Below are 25,745 nucleotides of genomic sequence, written 5' to 3'. Positions count from 1 at the left end.
GAGCAGAGGCTGGAACCAAGTTCTCCCGTATTCAGGCCCAGCCTCTTGGCATTGTGCTGCCTCCTTGTTTCACGTTGCAAGTCTGAAAGGAGCTCCTGGATACAGCTCATTTCAAGACCAGGCACTGGTGCCCGGGGTGGCCTGAAGTTGTCATAATGCTGCAGCTTCTTGGGATGAATCGTCCAAAGGCAGCCATCATCTAGCAGGGGACACCCCTCATAAATTCCATTCAGGGAGTTTCAAATGGAGCATCCCGGGTTCTCTCAAAGTGTTGTTTCATCCTGAATCTATTTTTCAGTCAAGATGAAACTTCACCACAGAAGGCAGGAGCCCTGGAGAAAATTTCTCTTGGTAGCGCTGAATTCTTCTCTTAGCAGCGGGTGTGTGAGGAAAGACTGAGAGTGTTGGAATGCATGTAAAGATACATCTTATTGGCCGGTCCTGGTGCCTCACGCCTGTAATCCTAGCACTTTCGGAGGCCAAGGCAGGAGGATTGCTTGAGCCCAGGGTTCAAGACCAGCCTGGGCAACATAGAGACTCCATCTCTACAAAAAATACAAAAATTAGCCGGGTGTGGTGGCATACACCTGTAGTCTCAGCTACTCGGGAGGATTGCTTGAGCCTGGGAGGTTGAGGCTGCAGTGAGCCATGATTGTGCCACTGCACTCCAGCTTGGGTGACAGAGTGGACTCTGTCATGAAAAAAAAAAAAAAGTGTTCATTTATTTTTGCTAGTCCTGCAAATAATACACTTTATCATAGCAAAGGTGTGGAAGTCTCACCACCCACACACAGCCATTTAAGTAGTGTGGTATATTTCCTCCAAGTCAGTTCAGTGTGTATTTTTCCCCTTTTTGGAGTGAGAGGGGCATGATTCTGACCAGACAGTATATTCAACTGTGTATCCCCCTTCTCCCCACTTAACCTTTTACAGTAATATAAATAGTAATCAGTAAGGCCGGGCGCAGTGGCTCACGCCTATAATCCCAGCACTTTGGAAGGCCAAGGCTGGTGGACCACCTGAGGTTAGGAGTTCAAGACAAGCCTGGGCAACGTGGTGAAACTCCATCTCTACTAAAAATACAAAAATTAGCTGGGCATGTCGGCACATGCCTGTAATGTCATCTACTTGGGAGGCTGAGGCACAAGAATCGCTGGAACCCGGGAGGTGGAGGTTACAGTGAGCCAAGATTGCGCCACTGCACTCCAGCCTGGGTGACAGAGCAAGACTCCATCTCAAAAAAATAATAATAAATTAATAAATAGTAATAAATACCGCCCAGGTTGGAGTGCAGTGGCACAATCCTGGCTCACTGCAGCCTCTGCCTCCTGGGTTCAAGTGATTCTCCCACCTCAGCCTCCCAAGTAATTGGGACTGCAGGGACATGCCACCACACCTGGCTAATTTTTTTTTTTTTTTTTTTTTTGAGACAGTCTCACTCTATTGCCTGGGCTGGAGCGCAGTGGTGCGATTGCAGCTCCCTGCAGCCTCCACCTCCCGGGTTCAAGCGATTTTTGTGCCTCAGCCCCCCAAGTATCTGGGATTACAGGCGTCCACCACCACACCTGGCTAATTTTTGTATTTTTAGTAGAGACTGGGTTTTGCCACGTTGGCCAGGTTGATCTCCAACTCCCAGCCTCAAGCGATCTGCCTGTTTCAGCCTCCCAAAGTACTGGGATTACAGGCGTGAGCCACCCTGCCTGGCCTCCATTTTTCTTAATCTATATAAAAAGTTTTAAAATCACTGCCTGATAGCCAAGCAATTATGGTTGTTTTCAGTGTGTCACTATTATTATAATTTTATAATGGCACTGTTATTATAATGGGATTTTGATTAACATCATTATGCATTTTTTTAAATTTAAGACTGTTTCATTAGGGCAGAGTCCTGGATTTGGAATTACTGGATTAAAATGGTATGGGTATTTTAAAGGTTCTTGCTATTTATTGCCAAATTGCTTTCCTGAAGGCTGCTGCCAGTGCAGGCTCTCGTTAGTAGAGAGGAAAGTGTTCATCTCGGTACTTCCTCTCAGCAGCAGATAGTCTTACATTTTTAATGCTTTCTAATTTGCTAGATAGAAAATGGCATCTGTTAGTCGACTTGGAATGTGTACCCCTGAGTCCACATCCCCGGCTTTTACCCCAGGGCTATGGGTGGAAAACGCTAGCTGAGATTTTGTCTTGCAGCTGACTTTGGTGTGTCTGCCAAGAATCTGAAGACTCTACAGAAACGAGATTCCTTCATCGGCACGCCTTACTGGTGAGTCGTGTAGCTTCTGGAAATGGAATGGACTGGATGTAAAAACTCTCCAAGGTGACCACCAGGCGCTTTAGACAGAGAGGGGCCGGAAGACAAGGGCTACACGCCCTGCCTCGTGGCTTACTAGCTGTGTGACCTTGGACAAGCTGTTTAGCTTTCCCGTGCGTCAGTTTCTTCATCCATAAAATTAGGGATATAATGGCCCCTACTTAATAAGGCTACTGTGAGAATGAAATGAAATGGTGCACATAGAAGGCACTCCATTAATAACTGAACTAGAATCCATAAAACAGGATTCAGTTCGTGATTTATTCGCCACGTATGTATTGAGGGCCGGGGATGGGGACCGTGAAGGTGAACAGTACAAGTTCAATTCCTACCGTCATGTGAAGTCTCCCTGGACTTCTGTAGTCTGTCGTGTTTCCTTCTTTTCCAGAACTATTACTTTAAAAGCAAAACACTGTCACTCAATTTCACGCCTGACTACTCTCTGTTTGCCGTGTTTCCAATTTTTTCATGTGCATTACTTGCCATTGTGTAGTTTGGGCTCCTTTCTTGCTTGCTTGTTACTCACCCTTGCTCTCTCTCTCCCCCCTTTTATACCTGTTTCTCCTCTCTGTGCTGGTGTCTTCTCGCCCACCCACCTCCACGCCCCTTTTTTTTTGCTCCGCACCTTCCCCTCCGCTCCCACCCGCCCCCTCCCCAGGACTCTGTGTTCCGGGTTGCTGCTGCCATCTCGCGGTAGGCATCGGAACTGCAGCAGGACGTGGCGGGGAGCCGCGTGGAGGCGTTTTTCTGTGGAAGAGCGTCCTAAGGAAGACAGTGGGATGCAAAGTCACGCAGATCATGATTCGGGAGTGCTGCCAACCCCGACAGTGGCTCGTGGTGGCCCTTGACCCTGAATGTCCAAGAAGCACCTGTAAAGGCCAGATTCTTAGCCCTATGTTGTCCCTTGGTTGGTTCAGGATGGCCCCCGAGGTGGTCATGTGTGAGACCATGAAAGACACGCCCTACGACTACAAAGCCGACATCTGGTCCCTGGGCATCACGCTGATTGAGATGGCCCAGATCGAGCCGCCACACCACGAGCTCAACCCCATGCGGGTCCTGCTAAAGATCGCCAAGTCGGACCCTCCCACGCTGCTCACGCCCTCTAAGTGGTGAGGGGCAGGGGCAGGGCCACCTGCCGGGGTGCCTGCGCCGGGATTAGGGCTGGAATATGTGGTGGACGGGGCTGGGGAGGTGCAGTGGTAGCGTTCTCCTGGTGCTGCTAGCTCCAAAGGAGAGGTTGGGGCCTGGGGGTCTTCAGGCGTTTCTGAGCCCCCCCGGGCCCTTCGTGCCTCTTTTTCCCTTTGTGTTCCTTTTTTTTTTTTTTTTTGAGATAGGGTCTCACTCTTTTGCCCAGGCTGGAGTACAGTGGTGCAGTCATAGCTCACTGCAACCTCGACCTCCTAGGCTCAAGAGATCCTCACACCTCAGCCTCCCTTGTAGCCGAGAGTACAGGCACCCACCACCATGCCTGGCTAATTTTCTGTAGAGACAAGGTCTCCTATGTTGCCCAGGCTGGTCTTGAACTCCTGGCCTCAAGGGATCCGTCTGCCTCGGCCTCCCAAAGTGCTGGAATTACAGGCGTGAGCTACCGTGCTGCCTCTGTGCACTTGACATGAGATCTTCACCAGAGCAAACCAAGTCACCCAAATAAGCTGGCTCCCACTGGGGAACAGGAGCCCCAGCTGAGCCGCAGGAGCCACATGGCACACCCTGGGCGGGACATCGGGGGCCTGGGTTCAAATCCCGGCACTGCTGAGTCTCCTCACTGCGTGGCCTGGGCACGTCCCTGCTCCTCGCCGATGTCTGGGTCCCCATCTGGACAGTGGTGTCCATGATGAAAAGGGCGTCGTGTAGGCCCTGTCACTGTTTTAGCTTGTGAAAGTTTCCTCTGTCCTTTGAGGGGCATGATTGGGACAGTGGAGTCTGTGACGTGGGGGGCTTCTCTCTGCTCTTGCCTCCTCCATGCTTACCTCTGACGCCTGTCCTCCCAGGTCTGTAGAGTTCCGTGACTTCCTGAAGATAGCCCTGGATAAGAACCCAGAAACCCGACCCAGTGCCGCGCAGCTGCTGGAGGTGAGTGGATTCCCCTCCCACTCTGCTCCCTGAAGGGTGGAGCCTAATGAACTCACCAGTGACCTGGACGCTGGGCATGTTCTCACCCCGCCCAGGGAACAGCATGGACAGCTGTTTGTCCATCAGCGGGTATTCCCCAGGCACCTCCTGAATGCCAGCTCTGTGTTGGGAGTGCCTTGGGGAACGAAGCCACCCAGACCTTGTCCTCATGGAGCGTGTGTTCCAGTGGGGATACAGGTGGCAAATAAGCAAGTATGTGTGCGTGGCAGGGGGTGGCCAGTGCCACGGAAGGAGATCCACAGTGCAGGGGTGGGGCGCCTGGGATCAGCTGTTGTCTTGTAAGGGAGGATAAGGAAGGGTTCTCTGGGTGAGCAGATGTCCACAGGAAGGGAAGGAGCAAGGCCAGTGGCCCAGAGGGAGAGGAGGCAAACGCCTGGGACAGCAGCATGTTCCACACATGCTGGGAAGAGCCAGGGGGTGGGGGTGGGAGGTGGGGGAGCAGGAGCACAGGGGCCAGGGGAGGGGAGACGAGAGCGGAGAGGCACTGGGGCGTCTGTCCCAAGGCTCGATGGTTCCCTAGGAGAACACCTGGCCTCAGCATATTCTCTCCCCACAGGAGACTTAGGACAGCAAAAGCACAGAGAGAACTCAGCCCAAGGAGGAGGTGTGTGGGAAAAGGTCTTGGGAGCCAGGTGCAAGCTTCCAGAGCCCTCTCCCAGTACAGTCACCAGGACAGCTTAATTCTCTGTGCTGTCCACCACGGAAGCCCCTTAGGGTTTTTAGTGGGTAGTGGTCACATAAGCACCCCCTGCCTGGCACAGACCAGAGTTCCAGACTCTAGAAGGAAAGGAGGTATTCCACCTAAGCCATATTGTTTGCAGAACAGTTTAGGCAGAGCGGGCCACTCTTATTAGTTAATGGTGGGAGCCCTCTCCTAGTTTGCAGAGACCAGCTGAGGATCCAACCTTGTTAGCGGCCCTTTCTGAAGCTTGCTGTGTTATTTTCTGCACACAGGGTCCTGCAGGGCCTTGCAAGCCAGAGCCAGGTCCTGGGCTTTATCTGTGCATTAGGGGAGACACAGCATCGACATCCATTTACAAGGGTCTTCCTGCCTTCTGGCTGCTGTATGCGGGATCAGGAGACTCTGAGCATCTCATTAGCTGGCTGTACTGCCTTAGAATGGGCAGGTGGATAATGGTTTCCTTGAAGCTTTTTGAACTATTGGAGGGAGCTGTGAGCCACTCTTTGCCTGGGCCCATGCCTCGAGTTAGGGCGTCATGGCTGGAGGCTGGGTGAGGTCGGTGTGTCCACAACAGTGTTCTGAGGGCTGTGCACAGCACTTGCCCGGTCATTTGCAAATCTGCCGACCAGTGTCCCCATGTCACTGCCACTGATGGAAGAGGGGGAGGAATGGGCCTGGGTGATGCAACAGGGCTGCCCTTTCACTGCCGTGTCGGCTCCGGTCCTGCCCTCAGCATGACAGCCTTAGAGGTGCAGTGGCAGGAAGGGGAGGAAGGCGCCACACCAGGCACTTGAGTCTTTGTATTCACCCAGCTTTTCCCAGCTTCCTACTGTGTGCCATGCACTGGGCCTGTGGTCGGCATTCTGAGCCACTGTGCGTCCTTCTGGGGTAGCAGCTTAGTTATTATGAGTGTGAGCTGGGGCGGGAAAGTCCAGGGTTCGACAGCTCTGCCATTTACTGGCTGTGAGCCCCTGGGCAAATGGCTTAACCTCTCTGTGACTTGCTTGTCACTCTGAAATGGGAGTGAATAGCAGCAGTCCCCTTACTGGGTGGTTGTGAGGATTAAATGAAGAGGTACTATGAAGCGCTTAGCTTAACTCTTAAGCACAGTGCTCCAGGAATGCTTGATGCATAGGACTGAGGTATTTATTTTTTTAAAAATGAAAAGAACCAGAATGCAAAATGAGGTCTATCTACTGCCGGGGGTGGGGGGTCACAGTTGTTCCTTTTACATTTCTATAACGTATTTGAAAGCAAATTTCTGGAGTGCCCAAAGGCCTCATTTTCTGGGTATTGTTGGGAGTGGGCTGGGGCCCCCCGAAGTGGGTGGGGTCGAGTGGGGCTGCTGTCACTGTCCAAGCCGCTTGGGGCCAATTGTTTCCTGTAAGAGGCACCTCCTGCCCTGATACATCCGGCCTCCAGGACATTCCACGGAGAGACCAGCTGTCCCCCATCCCCATATGGCAGCTCCGGAGCTGCAGCCTCAGCCAGGAATTTCCGCTCCATACTTGGAAAAAATGTCCTGCCAGAGGATTCTTACCGTCCAGCAGAAAGGGTTGCAGAACAAAGGAGCGATCTCTGGAGATGAATAAAGCACCTTTCACGCCTGTGCTGCTGCTGGCTTCACCCACGCGCCTTTTCCTCTCCAGTGAGAGAGGGTGGGCATGGCATTACCCCCTCGGGAGGACACCGGGATCAGAGCAGGGAGGTGACTGGCCCCAGGCCGCTTGGCTTTGAGTGACAGAGGTGGGCCCAGATCTTGGCTTCCCAGCCCCCACCTCCAGTGCTGTCAGCCTTCAGGGTGTCTACCGGCTTCCAAGAAGTGCCTGGCTCTCACGTCTCCCTGTGTCCCGCCCTGGGCGGAGTGATTCACGCCCCCATTGGTTTGTGATTCATTCATTGACTCCTGCAGACATTCTTTGGGCCTGGACCAACTTGTGGTTAGTAACCAGGCTCTGAAATCAGACATGCCATGCCCCGCCCCCCCCACCCAGAATCTGCATGGTTCTCACTCTGTGCCTCAGTTTCCTCATCTGTAAGATGTAGAGAGTGCTGGCTGCACAGGATTGTGTGAGTGAATGAGATTTTGTATGTAACATTTTTAACATACAGCTGTCACATGTGAGGTGCTGAGTAGATACTGGCTGAATTTGCTCTTAAACCCGTCCACTCTATCACAGCTGCTCTTGTCAAGGTTGTCAGCGGTTTCTGTGCCATGGGTCAGCCTTGGTGTTGGTCTCACTGAACACATCAACAGCACCAGCCCAGTCGATCTCCTCCTCCTGTCGGCACTCGACCTCCAGGCCTCCACACACCCTTGGTCATAAGCCTCTCCTTCTCCGTTGCCTTTGCTCGCCCCCCTTTGCCCCAGCTCATTAGTGTGAGAGTGCACAGGGCCCTCCCTCCATCTCCACGCACCCAGCGTGCAGCACTCCCAGCTCCATGCCTCGGCCCGCGTCCAGCTGTTGACTCCCCGGAGGTCCAGTGGGCATCTCACACTGAACGCTGAGCACTTGGATCTTTTCGCCGACGTGCTCCACCACTGGCTTTCCCATCTCGGCCGATGGCAGCTCCACCCTTCCAGTGGCTCAGGCCCCAAACCATGCAGGCACCCTTGCTCCTCTTTCTTCCACACTCCCTAGCCCACCTATCAGGAAATCCCGTTGTCCCTGCATTCGGTACGTGCCTAGACTTCAGCCTTTCCCACCCCTCCATTGCAGCCACTACCTGGGCCACCACCACCTCTCACTCGGGCTGCTGCCTCCTCGCTGGTCCCCTGCCCTCTCTGTTGGGTCTGGGCTGAGCACAGCAGCCAGAGTGAACCTTCTCAACAGGGGCCAGCTCATGTCCTCCCCGGGCCAAAGCTCCCCAGTGGCTCCCGTTTCACTCTAGGGAAAACCCAGAGTCTCAGGGCCCCTTAGAGTGCTGTGTGATCCGCCCCCCCCACCCTGCTGACCCCCATCGCCCCTCTCGCTCCCACACTCCAGCCTCACTCTTCTCCAGCCTGCCCAGCCGCCTTGCTGTGCTCTGAACACGGCATGTTCCTGCCTCAGGGCCTTGGCACTGGCTGTCCATGCCGCCTGGAATGGCCTTCCTCCGGATCCCTCTGTGACTGACTCTCCCTCTTCAAGTCATTGCTCTAATGTCAGCCTTGTGGTGAGGCCTCCCCCAACCACCCACATGAAATTGCAAACCCACTACACTCCCCACATTCCCAGTCCCCTTTCCCTGCCCTACTTCTTCCTTCTTCCATGGCACATGGCACTCAGGATATAACTTGCCTGCTTATTAGGTTTGTTGTCAAGCTCCCTGCCCGGCATGTCAGTGCCCTGAGGACAGCGTCTTTGTTTTGTTCGCTGATAGGTCCCAGGAACAGTGCCTGGTATATAGAGAGCCCTCAGCAAATATTTGCTAAATAAATTGACTTTTTTTTTTTTTTTTTTGGAGACGGAGTCTCGCTCTGTTGCCAGGCTGAAGTGCAGTGGAGCTATCTTGGCTTACCGCAGCCTCCACCCCCTGGGTTCAAGTGATTCTCCTGTCTCGGCTTCCCAAGTAGTTGGGATTACAGGCATGCACCACCACGCCTGGGTAATTTTTGTGTTTTTAGTAGAGGTGGGGTTTCACCATGTTGGCCAGGCTGGTCTTGAACTCCTGACCTGGGGAGATCTGCTTGCCTCAGCCTCCCAAAGTGCTGGGATTACAGGCGTGAGCCACCACGCCTGGCCAAAATTGACTTATTTTTACCTAACAAACTGTTACATAACCCTTTGTTCATGCCAGGTACGATTATAAATACTTAGCAAATGTCACCTAATTTAATCCTCATACCAACGCTCTGAAGTAGATGCTGTTCAGCTCTCTGTTGAGCAGATGGTAAAACGGAGGCACACAGCAGTGAAGTAGCTGGCACAAAGTCACACAGCCTGTAGGCCACAGAGCTGGGTTCTGATCCTGGTCCTCGGGTTCAAGAGTCTGTGCTCTTGACCTCTCTGGTAAGCTGCCTCTCCGAATGAATGAAAGAGAGAGGGAGGGAAGAAGACCAGAAGGGAGAGAGGATTGAAAGAGATGCCAGCGCCTGAAAACTGCGAGCATTATTAGGTGTTTTTATTCTTATTTTTATTTTTTTTGAAATGGAGTCTCGTCGTGTTGCCCAGGCTGGAGTACAGTGGCCTGATCTCGGTTCACTGCAATCTCCGCCTCCTGGGTTCAAGCGATTCTCTTGCTTCAGCCTCCCGAGTAGCTGGGATTACAGACGCCTGCCACCACACCCGGCTAATTCTTGTATTTTCAGTAGAGATGGGATTTCGCCATGTTGGCCAGGGTGGTCTCGAACTCCTGACCTCAAGTGATGCACCTGCCTCAGGCTCCCAAAGTGCTGGGATTACAGGTGTGAGCCACCATGCCTGGCCTTTTTGGCGTTTTTTAAAGCCCATCTTGGAGTATAGGACCCCTCTGGCTGATGGTTTCTAAGCACATAGAGGAAAAGTAGGCTTGAGTTCTTGGAAAGGACATCTGTTTAGATGGCAGGGGAGGCCCTGGCTAGAGAGCAGCTGCCGGTTGCCTTTTTCAGCAAAGATGGCACTGAACAGCCAGCCGGTGCCTCTTACTGGGGGGAAGGACTGGGAGGTCAAGTTCCTCTGTGATCTAGCCTTCCACTGGGGACACGTGTGCCCAGACCAGCCTACCTGGTGCAGGCTAGGATTCTCCCTTGCAGCATAGCCAGGGCGTTATCTCTCTAATGGGCCTCTAAACACATCTCTGGCGGCAGAGGAGCTGATGCCGTGGTGGAGGTGGTCTGTGTTTTGTGTCCCAGAGCAGTCTGTAAAACAGTGTTTGGGCCTAATCAGCCATAGGACGGGTGGCCCTGTGTGCCAGCCTTGCTTGCTCTGGTGCCTGGCAGAGCTGCCCTCCTCACCCACCCATCACAGACTTTCTTCCCCATGGCCCTCCTTCCTCCTCCTAAGGACGCTGGGGTGGTCAGGGAGGCAGTGGGCAGATGATTCTGCCTCAAGAAAGCAGAGTTCCTGGCCGTGCTGAAAAGCCACTGATTTGATCAATACATGGGGTGCCCCGATGAAAACCTGGTGTTTCCAGAAGCCCCTGCCTGTGTTTATTTATTTCTGCCGCGTCTGCTTCAGCCACTGCAGTGAAGCGTCCTGTGGCGTTTCGCTCAAGTTCACTTGTGTTAGATTGCGCAGTGTGGAGCTTAGGAACCTTTGGGATCTTGGTTCTCACCTTTGGGATCTTGGTTCTCACCTTTGGGATCTTGGTTCTCACCTTTGGTTCCAAAAAGCTGTGCTCTGGGGGCATGTGGGAGGGAATAGGAGTGGCTAGGAATGCAAAACAGGCTTTTCTTTTTCTGTTATTGTTTTTGAGACAGAGTCTCCCTTTGTCACCCAGGCTGAAGTGCATTGGCATGATCTTGGTTCACTGTAACCTCTGCCTCCCGGGTTCAAGTGATTCTCCTGCCTCAGCCTCCTGAGTAGCTGGGATTACAGGCATGCACCACCATGCCCAGCTAATTTTTGTTATTTTTAGTAGAGACAGGGTTTCACCATGTTGGCCAGGCTGATCTTGAACTCCTGACCTCAGGTGATCCACCGCCTTGGCCTCCCAAAGTGCTGGGATTACAGATGTGAGCCACTGTGCCGGGCCATAACGGGCTTTTCTGATTGTGCTGCTGCTCCTGCTGCTGACGGGGGTGATGGTGGTGATGGTAATGGTCATGGTGATGGTGATGATAGTGGTGATGGGTGTAATGGTGATGGTGATGGGGATGATGGTGGTAATGATGGTGATAGTGATGGTGGTGATGGTAATGGTCGTGATGATGATGTTGATAATGATGGTGATGGTAATGATGGTGGTGATGGTGGTGAAGGTGATGGTGGTGATGATGATGATGGTAATGGTAATGATGGTGGTGATGGTAATGATGGTGGTGATGGTGGTGAAGGTGATGATGGTGGTGGTGGTGATGATGGTAATGGTAATGATGGTGGTGATGGTGGTGGTGATGGTGGTGAAGGTGATGATGGTGGTGGTGGTGATGATGATGATGATGGCTGCCATATCTGAGCATTTACCATAATGCTTATAACAGCTGTTCCTAATATATAGATGAGCAAACTGAGACTCAGGGTTAAGTGACTTGCCCAAGTTGGTGGAAGCTGGATTTTACCAGGTGCCTTGGTTCTAGAGTCTACAGCCAGCACTCTTAACTGCATGCTACTTTGCCTCCTATGATTAGTAAACCCTTAACGCCCCACTCAAGACCTCTTAAAAGTACAGAGCAGCCAGAATGACATCTCTAAAGGGTAGTAGTGAATATCACTGCTGCACTGCAGCCTGTTGGTGGCTTGTGAGGACAGTCTCTGTGGCTCACCTGCACACACGGCCCATCCTTCCTCTGCATCCTGTGTGTCCCACCATCCTGCCCGTCTCATGGCTCCTGCCGCCCAACAAGCTCAGTCCAGTCTCAGGGCCTTCTTTGTACCAGCTGCTCCCTCTGCCTGGAATTCTCTGTGCCCAGATCTTTCCCTTGGGTCTCAGCTTGAATTTGACCTTGAATGAGGCCCCTCTGCCTGCAGACTTTAGTCTCCACCACCCTCAGCTATACAAGATCTGGAATTCTCTTGTTTATCATTTGAGCCACCGCGCCCGGCCAAATGAACTGTTTTAAATGAACAAACAGATAAGAATGATTTGTGATGAACATATACGTTCTGAATGTGTTTTCCAGGTGCTAGAAATTTGTTTTTTAGTCGTTTAAATACTTCCCCAGCAATCTTGTTGACACTTCCTCCCCGGATAAATTGTCTGAGAGTAAAAACAGTGAATTTCATCAGAGCCTTCCTGTATATTGTAAATGAGCAAATTCTAGCTTCATGATGCCTCCCACCCCACCCCATCATTCCTTTCCCAGTGGCCTTCGGTGAGCGTGGTGGGTTGAGGAATCCCACATCCCTGGCTATACCCGGGTGCCCTCACTCAGGATACCTCACACTGACTTAATATCGCTGAGACCTTTTGCTTTGGCGTTTTGCAAGGTCCGTAAAAGAACATTCACTTTTAAATAAGACTCTGACATTTGTATAAAAACCTAGAATAGAACATACACCACTCTGCCTCAAGATCTTGTATTTCCTTTCTTAAAACCAAACACATATGTCCACCCAAAGACATATACGAGAATGTCTCTTGCAGCTTTATTCATAGTTGCCAAAAATGGGAAACAGCCCAGATGTCCAGCAGCAGCAGGATGAATAAACAAACTGTGCCGTAGTCATACAGTGAGACCCTGCACAGAAATAAAACAGGAACAGTTTACTGAAATAGGCGACAATGTAGGTGAATCTCACAGTCATGACGCTGAGTAAAGGAAGCCAACGCGAAAGACTGCACACACGATGCTCTGTTTCTAGGAAGCTGAGGAGCAGGCTCCCGAGGCTGGCGGCGTGGGAGTGGGGTTGCCTGCCAAGGGAGACGGGAGCCTTCCCCGGTGATGGAAATGTTCTGTATCTTGAGCTGGGTGGCAGTTACGGTGCGTGCATATATATGTAAAAAGTCATTGAGGCTGGGCACAGTGGCTCACGCCTGTAATCCCAGCACTTTGGGAGGCTGAGGCGGGTGGATCACTTAAGGTCAGGAGTTTGAGACCAGCCTGGCCAACATGGTGAAACCCCGTCTCTACTAAAAATATAAAAAATTAGCCTGGCGTGGTGGCACATGCCTGTAATCCCAGCTACTTGGGAGGCTGAGGCAGGAGAATCCCTTGAACCTGGTAGGTGGAGGTTGCAGTGAGCCAAGATTGCGCAACTGCCTTCCAGCCTGGGCAACAAGAGTGAAACTCTGTCTCAAAAAAGTCATTGAGCTTTACAACCTGTGAACTTTGCTGTAGGAATGTTATTCCTCAACAAAATGTATGTAGCATATTTTATAAAACTATATATTAAAACCTTTTAAAAAGGAAAATAGACACCCTCCCTTGCAAACACGGCTTGAGCCCCTACTTTGGGCTAAGCATTTTCAAGTGCATGATCTCATTTAATCCGCATGACCTCCCTGTGGGTTCATTGTTAACGTGTCCACTTGAGAGATGAGGAGCCTGTGGCTCAGAGAGGTTAAGTGACATGCTCAAGGTCACACAGCCGCTGAGAGACACAGCTGGGATCTGCCCTCTTTCCAACACACTTGGGACTTTCCAGGCTGTCTCTGGGTCTCCAAGTTCATGTGCACATTTTGCTCAGGAATGAGGCTGGCCTTTTCTGCCCCGGGGGTGAGCTCCCCCAGCCTCTTCCACCCCACCGTGACCCCAGAGTGGTTCTAATCTGGGTGCATCTTGCCCCCTCAGCATCCCTTCGTCAGCAGCATCACCAGTAACAAGGCTCTGCGGGAGCTGGTGGCTGAGGCCAAGGCCGAGGTGATGGAAGAGATCGAAGACGGCCGGGATGAGGGGGAAGAGGAGGACGCCGTGGATGCCGCCTCCGTAAGGCCAGGGAGAGTGGGGCTTAGCGGGGGCTGGGAGGACAGGATCTCAGCTGGCCCTGCTGGTGTGGGAGGGGCAGGGAAGGCCAGGACTCTGGCTCAGGCAATTTATTGCCAGCTCAGAGGTTGCAGACTCCCACGCTGCAGGTAACGTAAGATGGCATGTGGGCCGGGGTGAGGCAGCAGGGGGTGTTGGCCAGATCCCGATCCTGTGAGTTTTCAGGAGATACCAGAGATCTAGATTTTCACATGAAATCTTCCAATTTTTAAAAGTTGGTAACTGATTCATGGCTTCCCATCCTTTGTTCCTGTCACAGCTCACATACCAAATGAGACTGTTTTTAGCTCATTTTGGGATAAATATGGGAGGCTGCATATGGCCACAGGCAACACCCTGGCCCCCCTCTAGCTGCCCTCAGTGCCAAGGGGACCCATGTCTGGGCACATTTGGAACTCTTTTGCAGCTTCAGTGCTTGCTGGATTTAGATTGAAATTAAAGCTAATTTAAATTTGTAAAAACCCTGTGAGCCAAGGAAAACATGTCTGTGGGCTGGATTCTGGCCCAAGCTGTTGCTCCGTAATCCCTGGCCTTACTTGGGGAGGCCTCTTCCCAGGGATAGGGTGGCCATCCCGGTGGCTCCCTGTGCCTAGAGAAGCAGGGGCTGGACTTACCCATCAGGGGATGGAGCTGGCCCACATCCTTGTGCTGTGGACGGCACTGCAGCTTCCTCAAATTTAATTCAGTCCTGGGTGGAGCCTGAGGCTGGCGCAGACCCTCACCAGGGTGAAGAAGGAAAGCCCGAAGGGCAGGGCAAGCGGAATCATCACAACCACCCCCGCCATGCATGGAGCCCCTGGTGGCTGCCGGGCCCTCTACAGCTCTGACACAGGGTAACCAAGCTCCAGCTTACAGACAGGAAAACTGAGATCGATACAGTGAAGTGGCTGGCTGAGCCGATAGATGGCAGGGCCAGGGGTGGATTTGGAGTAGGAGAACCTCAGTGGGGCCTGGCTCCAGGAGGAGGTAGAAAGCGCTCACACCTGGCCTCATTGTCTGCATGCAGGAGGCTGATCTTTGTCCTGTGGGTATTGGGAGCCCCGAAGGGTTTCAGGCAGGGACTGGGTATTGGGGTGGAGGTGACAGAATCAGATCTGCGTTTTTGAGCCATCACTCTGGGTGTTGACTAGAAGGTAGATTGGAGTTGCTTCCACCAGCTGCCATAGCTGAGGTTAAAAACCGGTGGCTGGCAAGACCCAAAGGAATACTTATAGTATAAATCCATTCATACCACGTTTATAAGCAGGCACAGCTCATCTGTAGCACTTAGAGACCATAGGACAGTGACTATGTCAAGAGGTGGGAGAGCATTGCCACTGAGAAGGACGGGGCGGCAGGGGATGGCCCTCTGGGGCAAAGCAATGTCCCCTCCTGACCTGGAAAGTGGCTACATGGATACTCACTCTATTCACCAAGTTGGATGTTTATGTTTTATACACAGGAAGAATGTTCTGTTTCACCTTAGCATAGCAACATTTCCAGTACTTTCCACCCAACAAAGACTCTAAAAAACAAAAATGAAGCTGAAAACTTAGTGGCCACAAGGGCTGAATCCAGTCCCCAGACAGGCTTGGCTTGGCCTTTATATGATTTTTTAAAAAATATGAGTTAGTTGCCACCTAAAAATTAAGAGATGTCCATTAAAAACCTAGATTTCAAACTTGTCTTAAAAAATTGGAAGGTTTGGCTGGGTGCGGTGGCACACACCTCTAATCCCAGCACTTTGGGAGGCCGAGGCGGGCAGATCACTTGAGTCCAGGAGTTTGAGACCAGCCTGGGTGACATACTGAAACCCTGTCCCTACTAAAAAATGCAAAAATTAGCTGGGTGTGGTGGCATGCACCTGTAGTCCCAGCTACTCGGGAGGCTCCTCGGGAGGCTGAGGTGGGAGGACCACTCCCAGGTGGGAACCCAGGAGGTGGAGGTTGCATTGAGCCAAGATGGCACCACTACACTCCAGCCTGGGTGACAGAGCAAGACCCTGTCTCAAAAAAATAGATAAATAAATAAAATAAAAAATTAAAATTAAAAAACTGGGAAGGTTTGGCCACAGGGGAGCCATTTTCCCACATTGTCACAATTGGCTGGAATGGAGCGGCCACTGACCCCTCCCTGTGGGCCATGAGCTGGCCAGCTGGCCACAGCTGCCTCCTAGCAGGAATAACAGCTATTACATTCAGCTGAGATTAGAGATAGTGAGGAGATTGCCATGCCTCAAAATAAGTAGTAATTGTATTACGGTTAGGCAATAGGGAGTGCTGAAGACTGGCTAGGGAGATATCTGCTCTCCTTTCTTGGCGCTGGCCCACTTCATCTTGAGGGTGTCTGACTTTCTCCACTGCATCTCTGACTCTTGCCTTGAACATACAGCAGCATGGCCTTTAATATATATATATATATTTTTCTAGACCCTGGAGAACCATACTCAGAACTCCTCTGAGGTGAGTCCGCCAAGCCTCAATGCTGACAAGCCTCTCGAGGAGTCACCTTCCACCCCGCTGGCACCCAGCCAGTCTCAGGACAGTGTGAATGAGCCCTGCAGCCAGCCCTCTGGGGACAGATCCCTCCAAACCACCAGTCCCCCAGTCGTGGCCCCTGGAAATGAGAACGGCCTGGCAGTGCCTGTGCCCCTGCGGAAGTCCCGACCCGTGTCAATGGATGCCAGAATTCAGGTAGCCCAGGAGAAGCAAGTTGCTGAGCAGGGTGGGGACCTCAGCCCAGCAGCCAACAGATCTCAAAAGGCCAGCCAGAGCCGGCCCAACAGCAGCGCCCTGGAGACCTTGGGTGGGGAGAAGCTGGCCAATGGCAGCCTGGAGCCACCTGCCCAGGCAGCTCCAGGGCCTTCCAAGAGGGACTCGGACTGCAGCAGCCTCTGCACCTCTGAGAGCATGGACTATGGTACCAATCTCTCCACTGACCTGTCGCTGAACAAAGAGATGGGCTCTCTGTCCATCAAGGTAACACCGCCTCTGCCACCACGGGCTTGCAGCAAGACCATTGCAGGATGTTCTGTGGCTCCATTTTGGTTTCAAAAGCATTTAGGGGCTTCCTTGCATTTTAAGTGGTTCATTAGGGGGTTTTGGGTTTGACTCATAGTTTAATCTCCAAAATATCTGGGTTCAATATGGGATTTAGGAATGTAAAGCAGTTGGTTTGGGTTTAAATTTCAAAGCTTGGTAAAAGGCCCTGGTAAAATTTGGGAGAGAGAACTCTTAGGCCTTAGCTACAAATGAAGTTCTGTCATCCAGAGGTCAGCCACGAGACCCAGCTGATAACTGGTAAATCCAACTAAAGGAAACAGCTCAAAGCCATCTTCCCCGCCTCCGGGGCCTTTCTGGAGGTGGGCAGTGTTGCGAATGACGATAGCCACCGCACTAGAGGCCTGGGCTTGAGGCGAACCCTGTACAAAGTGCTTTAAAAAGAACAGACAGGCTCCTTCATCCTCTCACTTTACAGATAAGCAGATGGAGGCTCAGAGAAGTGAGGAGCCAGCCCAGGGCCAGGTAGGAGTGGGAAGATGGACAGACCCCAGGCTCCAAACTCTAAACCTTCCCAGTGGGAGCCATGGCCTCCTTCTTAGGGAGCTGGAAGGGGCTGACTCCTTTCCTGGCCTCCCCGATAAATCCCGGGGTGTTACTAAACTCACCATGGGTCACCTGACCCTCTACCCAAAGCTCATTTTAGAGGAAATACTGTATGATTTTGTTTTTCCTTCCCAAATGTACTTGGTGAAAAACACGCAGTAGAGACTCGAACATATTTGCTAAGCAAAGGGGAGTGACAGGAGCCGCAACGGCCAATCAGCTTTAGGCAGGGAAGGGAAGCACAGTTCCAACAGGCCACCGGGACAAGCATGCACAGCAGCTGTTACCTGTGAGCAGCGTCTTCCTTAGGACCGGCATCCTGCCACTTCTCTTCCTGAAGACACTGAGTGAAAAAAAGGTGTTTTTATTTGTTTTTTTAATGAGACAGACCCACCTAAAGCAGGGGCTCCCCTGCTCTTCTCAAGGCTGTGGAGAATGTTTCTGGTTGACTGCATTGCGTCAGGGACCTCAGGCCGTTCTCATGAGAGTCCCCCGCTGTGCCGGCACCCCCTGGCGTGACTAGGAGCCTGTTCCTTCAGGGATGGAGGCCCCCTGGCCAGGAGCAGTTCTCAGCAGAGGGCTGTGGCTGTGGGTGCCCTTTCTTCCCCTCCACTCTCACTCCTGCCGGCCTCTACTTCTCACTGCTGGCCTGACCCATCCTGACTGGGTCCTGGCACATGTGAGCTGGTCACCGTAGAGAGATGAGAGTCGGGCATGCTGGGTCCATGCTGATGCTGTCCAGAGCCCCTGGGCGAGGTGCCATGGGCAGGAGACAGGGGCCCAGACCTCAGGGAGCAAAAACAGTCTGCCCCTCTCGACTCAGCAGGAGTGGAGCTCAGCATAGATTTCAAGGGGTCAAGAGACCTGCCACGCTGGCTCCTCACTCCTCTTTCAGGGGCTGGGAGGCCCCGTGTTAGGAAGGCAGGGCTGGGCTACACCAAAAAGAGTCTTTGGGCCGGGCGCCGTGGCTCACACCTGTAATCCCAGCACTTTGGGAGGCCAAGGCGGGTGGATCACGAGGTCAGGAGTTCGAGACCAGCCTTACCAACATGGTGAAACCCTGTCTCTACTTAAAAAAATTAAAAAATTAGCCGGGCGTGGTGGCGCATGCCTGTAATCCCAGCCACTCAGGAGGCTAAGGCAGGAGAATCACTTGAATCCGGGAGGCAGAGGTTGTGGTGAGCTGAGACTGCGCCACTGCACTCCAGCCTGGGCAACAGAGCGAGACTCCATCTCAAAAAAAAAAAAAAAAAGAGGCTTTGAAACCAACCAAGAGGCCAGAGGCAGTGGGCAGAGCGGGAGGGTTATGGGGACACCTTCAGAATCAGAGCTGAGAACTTCCAGAGGGTACCACGTATTATGACACACAAACACCTCCAGGATCCCAGGTGGCACCTGCACAATCACTTGTGGCGTGTGCGATTACTCACAGGAAAAGATGACGATTATGCGTAATCTCATGGTGACTCCTAGCAGGTGGGGAGTTCAGGCCAGGTCAGCTTTGGCTACCAAACCAGTTATAAAAACAGCCTTTGGTTTTCGGGCTCCTTTGGATTTTGGCACCATGCGCGAGGATTGTGTGTGGTCTGCAGTAATAACTGTCAGAAAGAAATGCTAAGCATGGAACACAGGCCGGGAGTGGGCACTGCTCTGTGTGCCTGCCATGTGTTCTCTCACTGAATCTTCACAACCACCCTGGGAGGCAAGTAGTGTGACTATCCTCCCTGAACAGGTGAGGAAGCTGAGGCTCAGACAGGACAAGAGGCTGGCCCAGAGACACAGAGCAAGTAAGTGGTGCAGTGAGGGTTAGAACGCAGCTCTTTTTTTTTTTTTTTTTTTTTTTTTTTTTAGAGACGGAGTCTAGCTGTATGGCCCAGGCTGGAGTGCAGTGGCGTGATCTAAGCTCTCTGCAAACTCCGCCTCCTGGGTTCAAGTGATTCTCCTGCCTCAGCCTCCCAAGTAGCTGTGATTACAGGCACCTGCCACCATGCCTGGCTACTTTTTGTATTTTTAGTAGAGACAGGGTTTCACTGTGTTGGCCAGGCTGGTCTCGAACTCCTGACCTTGTGATCCGCCTGCCTCGGCCTCCCAAAGTGCTGGGATTACAAGCGTAAGCCACCGTGCCTGGCAAGAACGCAGCTCTTTCTGACACCATGTCCTGGATGCATGAGAGGTGCTGGCAGCAAGGTAGGGGAGGCCTCAGCACAGTTTCTGAAGGCTGAGATCAGGGAAGAGCAAGGGAATAAGCTCAGAACCCCCAGCTCCTAGGTTAAGTTGAGGCAAGAGGGACGATGGATGGCCACATCTCTCTGGGGGTGGTTCTGAAGCTGTGGGCCCAGCAGAGCTGTGGCCTCACCTGCTGCGACAGCCATGGGTCCTTAGCTGAAATGCTGAGACTTGTCTAATGGTTTTCCCTGGCCAGGACCCGAAACTGTACAAAAAAACCCTCAAGCGGACACGCAAATTTGTGGTGGATGGTGTGGAGGTGAGCATCACCACCTCCAAGATCATCAGCGAAGATGAGAAGAAGGATGAGGAGATGAGATTTCTCAGGCAAGCCTGGGAAGGGCCACCAATGGTGGTAACAGGGTGGGGCTATGGTAAGAGGAGTGGGCATTGGTCCTTTGGTGAGAGGGCTGTCTGTCTACAGCATGAAGTGGGGGAATCAAGGAGGCAAAAGGAAACTCATTTTGCCTGCGATCCTGCACTCCCCCATCTACCCAACCGTTCACCTATCTATCCACTCATCCATTCATTTATTCACCCATCTATCCACCTACTCACCTATCTACCTATTCATCTATCCACCCATCCGTCTACCCATCCTTCCACCCACTCACCCCTCCACCCATCCACCTATCTACCCACTCAACTTTCCATCCATCCATCCAACTGTCCACCCATTCATCTACCTATCTACTTAATCATCCATCCTTCCATTCATTTATCCACGCATCAATCCACCTACTCACCTGTCTGCCTATCCATCTATCCACCCAGTCATTCACCCATCCATTCATCCATCCATTCATCCACTCATCCACTGATTCATCTACCCACTCACTCACCTTCCATCTATCCACCTAACAATCCACCCATCCTTCTACTCACTCACCATTCCATCCTTCCCTTCATCTGCCGAATTATCCATCTGTTTATCTATCCATCCACCCAATCACCCATCCGTCCATTTTATCCTTCTATCCATTTATCTACCCATCTATCTATTTACCTACTCCCTATCTACCTTTCCGTCTGTCCACCCAATCATCCATCCAGTCATCCATCCACCCACCCACTCATCTACCCATTCAGCCTTCCACCTATCTACCTAACCATCCATCCATCCATCCATCCATCCATCCATCCATCCATCCATCCATCCATCCATGTATCCACCAACCCACCAGGTTGGAGACAAGGTGGTGACCCAAATAGATAAGGCCATTGCCCTTGTAGAACTTACACCTAATGGGCCAACATACAGTACACAAGATAATCCCTGATTGTGGTACATGCCATGAAACAAGTAACAGGTGACATGATAGTGAGTGCTTGGAGTAGGGGAGGCTGCTCCAAGGGAAGCCCCTGAGCCAGGCCTAAAGGATAAGGGGAGGAGAGCTGGGGGAGCCCAGGGGAAATTGCAGTTGCTGAGGCCCTGAGGGATAACTACTCAGCTTGTTTAAGGGACTGGTGGAGGGAGAGAGGGAGATCTTGACTAGGATGGGCAGGCTCTGGGCTCAGGCTGGGGCAGTGGCCGGGAAGAGGGAAAAACATGGTCAGATTTGACCTACATTTTGGAGGCAAAACCAGTGAGTTGGTAAAGGACTGGAACAGGGAGGAAGGTGTGAGGCAAAGCTGTTTGCTAGGATCAGCTTTATACTTTTCAGTTGTTCATCCCCCACTTACAGCCCTCCTTCGGGAGACCCTATTTCCACATTTTTTAAACAAATGAGGAAACACTATTTCTGGGCAAGTAAGTCACTTGCCCTGGGTCTTCCAGTTAGGCAGGGGTAAAGCTGAGATTCTAACTGGGTCTGTGTGTGTGAGAATTCCTTCAGGTTTCACTGGACCATGTAGCTGGCAGGGGTTGGGGGAGCTTAACACTTAGGGAGGCCATGGAGCCACGGAGTCCCCTGGGGGCCAGGCCTTTGCAGGGTAAATTCATGGTTAGTGTAGAGAAAATTTCTAGAACATTAATCACATATTTTTATACATGTGAATTAAAATTTTTTTAATTTTATGTATTTATTTATTTTTTGAGATGGAGTCTCGCTCTGTCGCTCAGGCTGGAGTGCAGTGGTGCTATCTTGGTTCAGTGCAACTTCTGCCTCCCGGGTTCAAGCGATTCTCTTGCCTCAGCCTCCTGAGTAGCTGGGACTACAGGTGCCCGCCACCATGCCCGGCTAATTTTTGTATTTTTAGTACACACGGGGTTTCACCGTATTGGCCAGGCTGGTCTCAAACTCCTGACCTTGTGATCCGCCCACCTCGGCCTCCCAAAGTGCTGGAATTACAGATGTGAGCCACCGCGCCCGGCCTAATACTCATATTTTTTTAAACGTTTAACCATGCAGCTGGGCACAGCAGCACACACCTGTAATTTCAGCACTTTGGGAGGCTGAAGTGAGAGGATCACTTGAGCCCAGGAGTTCGAGACCATCTGGGCAACCTAGTGTCTCTACAAAAAAATTTTAAAATTAGCTGGGCACATACCTGTAGTCCCAGCTACTCGGGAGGCTGAAGTGGGAGGATCACTTGAGCATAGGAGGTCAAGGCTGCAGTGAGCTGCGTTCATGCCACCGCACTCCAGCCTGGGTAACAGAGCAAGACTCTATCTCTCAAAAATAAATTTAAGGCCGGGCGCGGTGGCTCACGCCTGTAATCCCAGCACTTTGGGAGGCCGAGGCGGGTGGATCATGAGGTCAGGAGATCGAGACCATCCTGGCTAACAAGGTGAAACCCCGTCTCTACTAAAAATACAAAAAATTAGCCGGGCGCGGTGGCGGGCGCCTGTAGTCCCAGCTACTCGGGAGGCTGAGGCAGGAGAATGGCGTGAACCCGGGAGGCGGAGCTTGCAGTGAGCCGAGATTGCGCCACTGCAGTCCGCAGTCCGGCCTGGGCGACAGAGCGAGACTCCGTCTCAAAAAAAAAAAAAAAATAAATAAGTAAATAAATTTAAAAAATAAATTGTAAAAAATGAAAGCATAGGCCAGGTGTAGTGGCTCACACCTGTAATCCCAGCACTTTGGGAGGCCTAGGCGAGTGGATCACCTGAGGTCAGGAGTTCGAGAAAAGCCTGGCCAACATGGCAAAACCTGGTCTCTACTAAAACTACAAAAATTAGCCAGCTGTGGTGGCCGGCGTCTGTAATCCCAGCTACTCGGGAGGCTGAGACAGGAGAATCACTTGAACCCAGGAGGCGGAGGTTGCAGTGAGCCGAGATTGTGTCACTACACTCCAGCCTGGGCGACAGGGTGAGATTCTGTCTCAAAAGTAAATAAATAAATAAATAAATAAATAAATAAGCCAAAACCAAATAAAAGTAGTTTTAGATGTTGTGGATCTCTTCTCCCTCTAGGAGACAGAGGGAGGAAAAACAGACTTTTCACTAGTGTATCTGCATACACCACACACACACACACACACACACACACACACACACACACACACACACTGGTGTCATCTGTGTGGGTCGGGAGGCTAGGGCACAGGTTGCTTTGGCAGATGAAACCACCTTCTGTTCTAATGGTCACCTGAGAGGCACCCTGGACTCTGAGTTTCAACCTCAAGAGCTGGGTTTCCATCACCTCCCCTCTGGGCAATTGAAGTTCTCAGGGATAAATTCTAGATTGGCCACACCCCATGGAGAAGCAGTGCTCTCTGGCCCTGGCTGTGGTTCCCCACCCTCCTCCTGAGCAGAGCAGCTGTGTGCTACTCAGGGTCAAAAGGGGAGACCTCGAGGAGGTGAAGAGGTGCTCGGCAGGAACCGGGATTTTCTCGCTTGCCTGCCGTGGTCTGGAGGTCTGAGCGCCTGTAAACTAGGCCAGGCCACCAGACCACAGGGGTGTGGAAGGCCCTGATCATCCCCTGCTGGCCCAGGCCCCTGGTCATACCTGACCCCTGGCGTTTTTGGAGAATTGGGTCACACCTAGGCATCTGAACCATGTGGCTGAGCATTTATCACATTCTCAGACTGATGAGGCTTCCGGGCAGAGTTCCTCCTGTCCTTCCCTAAAACGGCTTCTGCCGTTCCCTCGCTCTTGAGCCTCAGCCTTCTCTTTGCTTGCCTTTCCTTCTGAGAGCACAGGTGGACCAGGGAGTGCTAGAGCTGGCTGCCTGCCTTCTTTCTGTACTCCTTTTAGGCTTTTTGTCAGTTCTTCTCTAAACCTTAGTTTCTCTTGAGTCAGGATTTCCATTTCCTCGTTAACACTCTCAAAACCTGCCTCCTCTCTTCCCACTTTCCAGAAAAGCAGAGGCTCAGACAGTCTTCCCTCTGTGGCTGTAGAAAGCGCCTCTGGCTTTTCCCAGAGGCAGGGCAGCCATTGCCTCTTCTTCCTTGGTAGAATTCGACCAGTTGCCATTTACAGAGTGCTGGTCATGTGCCACGTGGGCACTTTACCTGTGTCATCTCATTTATCCTTCAAAGGACCCAACAGGTAAAGATTGTTAGCCTCATTTTGCAGAGGAGGGAGTGAGTCCCACAAGGATAAGTGACTCCCCGAGCGGGCACCCAGCTGGAAAGCTGACTGAGCCTAGATTCACACAGGGGCGCTGCGACCCCAGAGAATGCTCTTGGCCTCGCTGCACTGCCCAACCCCTCCTTGTGCTGCTCTTGGGGGGCAGTTCTGTGAGCAGTTATGGCCCCTCCGAGTCATGAGGAAGGCCACTGGGGTCAGAGCGTGGCCTCATGGGAATCAGCATGGTGCCGCACTGGACTAGGACACAGGCCTCACGGACCCCAACCCTGAGAGGCCGCCAGGAGCCTCCAGTTCAGTCAGGAGGCCTAGGTTCTTTCTGTAGTAGTTTGGTTTTTTCTTTTTTTCCGATTATATGAATGATATGTAGCAATTTTCTCTCTCTTTTTTTTTTTTTTGAAATGGAGTCTCACTCTGTCGCCCAGGCTGGAGTGCAGTGGTGTGATCTCGGCTCACTACAACCTCTGCCTCCCAGGTTCACGCCATTCTCCTGCCTCAGCCTCCCAAGTAGCTGGGATTACAGACGTGCACCACCATACCTGGCTAATTTTTGTATTTTTAGTAGAGATGGGGTTTCACCATGTTGGCCAGGCTGGTTTTGAACTCCTGACCTCAAGTGATCCGCCAGCCTCAGCCCCCCAAAGTGCTGGGATTACAGGTGTGAGCCACCGCGCCCGGCCTACATAGCAATTTTTAATGGATTTGCTCATTAAGAAACGTGGTTAACACTTGGGGCTTATCCCTCCGATATTTTTTCTGTGAGTACACACATACACTGACAACATAAATATATATATATAATTAGGGCATGTTGCTTAGGTCAATTTTTTTTTCTTTTTTTAACACAGGATCTTGCTCTGTTGCCCAGGCTGGAGTGCAAGCGGCATAGTCACGGCTCACTGCAGCCTGGACCTCCTGGGCTCAAGCAATCTTCCGGCCTCAGCCTTTTAAGTAGCTGGGACCACACACATGCACCACCATGCCCGGCTAATTTTTGTATTTTTGGCAGAGATGAGGTCTCGCTATGTGGCCCAGGCTGGTCTTGAACTCCTGAGCTCAAGTGATCCTCCCAACTCGGCCTCCCAAAGTACTGGGATTATAGGCATGGGCCACCACGCATGGCCTAGGTCAAATTTTTATTATATATTTTTTAGCAGATAATAAAGGTTAAACATCCCAAATCAAAAAATCCAAAATCCAAAATGCTCCAAAATCTGCAACTTTTTGAGCACTGACATCAAATTCTCACTGGAACATTTCGGACTTCAGATTTTCAGATTAGGGATGCTCGTTCAGTAAGTATAATATTCTACAATCTAAAAAAATCTGACACCCAAAACACTTCTGGTCCCAAGCTTTTTCAGTAAAGGATACTCTACCTGTATAAGGTCCATGGTTCGAAATTAAAAAAAAAAAGAAAGAAGATAAACAGTGAAAAATTTCCCTCTTCATTTTCCTACCAGAAATCCAGTTCCCTTTCCTGTGTTAGTGTTTTATGGTTTAATCCTTCCAGAGATACTAGAAAAGTAAACAATACATATATGTGTGTACAGAGACATTGTTGTCCTTTTTCTCCCAGATAAGGTGGCATAACAGACCTATTCTTTAATATCTTGCTTTTTTTTACCTAGAGATTACTCCATATCTGTTCATAAATATTATTATTATTATTATTATTATTATTTTGAGACAGAATTTTGCCCTTGTTGCCCAGGCGGGAGTGCAGTGGCGCTATCTCGGCTCACTGCAACCTCCGCCTCCCGGATTCAAGCGATTCTCTTGCCTCAGCCTC

At 51.5% G+C, this 25,745-nt stretch overlaps 1 protein-coding gene across 4 annotated transcripts in view, besides 1 other annotated feature; it reads left to right on the top strand.

Annotated features, from left to right (window-relative positions):
- STK10 (serine/threonine kinase 10) overlaps positions 1–25,745 on the top strand; it is a 146,146-nt gene that overhangs the window by 78,185 nt on the left and 42,216 nt on the right. For 2 of the 4 annotated variants that reach the window (NM_005990.4, XM_047417627.1), the window contains 6 exons: positions 2,188–2,260; positions 3,226–3,420; positions 4,303–4,384; positions 13,480–13,614; positions 16,080–16,628; positions 19,678–19,808. In NM_005990.4, the coding sequence (NP_005981.3) occupies positions 2,188–2,260; positions 3,226–3,420; positions 4,303–4,384; positions 13,480–13,614; positions 16,080–16,628; positions 19,678–19,808 (1,165 nt within the window). The remainder of the gene's footprint in view (positions 1–2,187; positions 2,261–3,225; positions 3,421–4,302; positions 4,385–13,479; positions 13,615–16,079; positions 16,629–19,677; positions 19,809–25,745) is intronic. The other 2 variants (XM_047417628.1, XM_047417629.1) reach the window with 2 other exon arrangements.
- Positions 7,408–8,194: an enhancer, noted in NCBI's record as "H3K27ac-H3K4me1 hESC enhancer chr5:171528850-171529636 (GRCh37/hg19 assembly coordinates)". NCBI's record gives its function as "activates a minimal SCP1, AML or CMV promoter by ChIP-STARR-seq in primed H9 embryonic stem cells {active_cell/tissue: H9 hESC(primed)}" and the evidence as "EXISTENCE:reporter gene assay evidence [ECO:0000049][PMID:30033119]".

This window comes from Homo sapiens, chromosome 5 (genome assembly GCF_000001405.40).
Source record: "Homo sapiens chromosome 5, GRCh38.p14 Primary Assembly".
NCBI classification, from domain to species: domain Eukaryota; kingdom Metazoa; phylum Chordata; class Mammalia; order Primates; family Hominidae; genus Homo; species Homo sapiens.
This window is presented reverse-complemented; position numbering and strand designations above follow the sequence as displayed.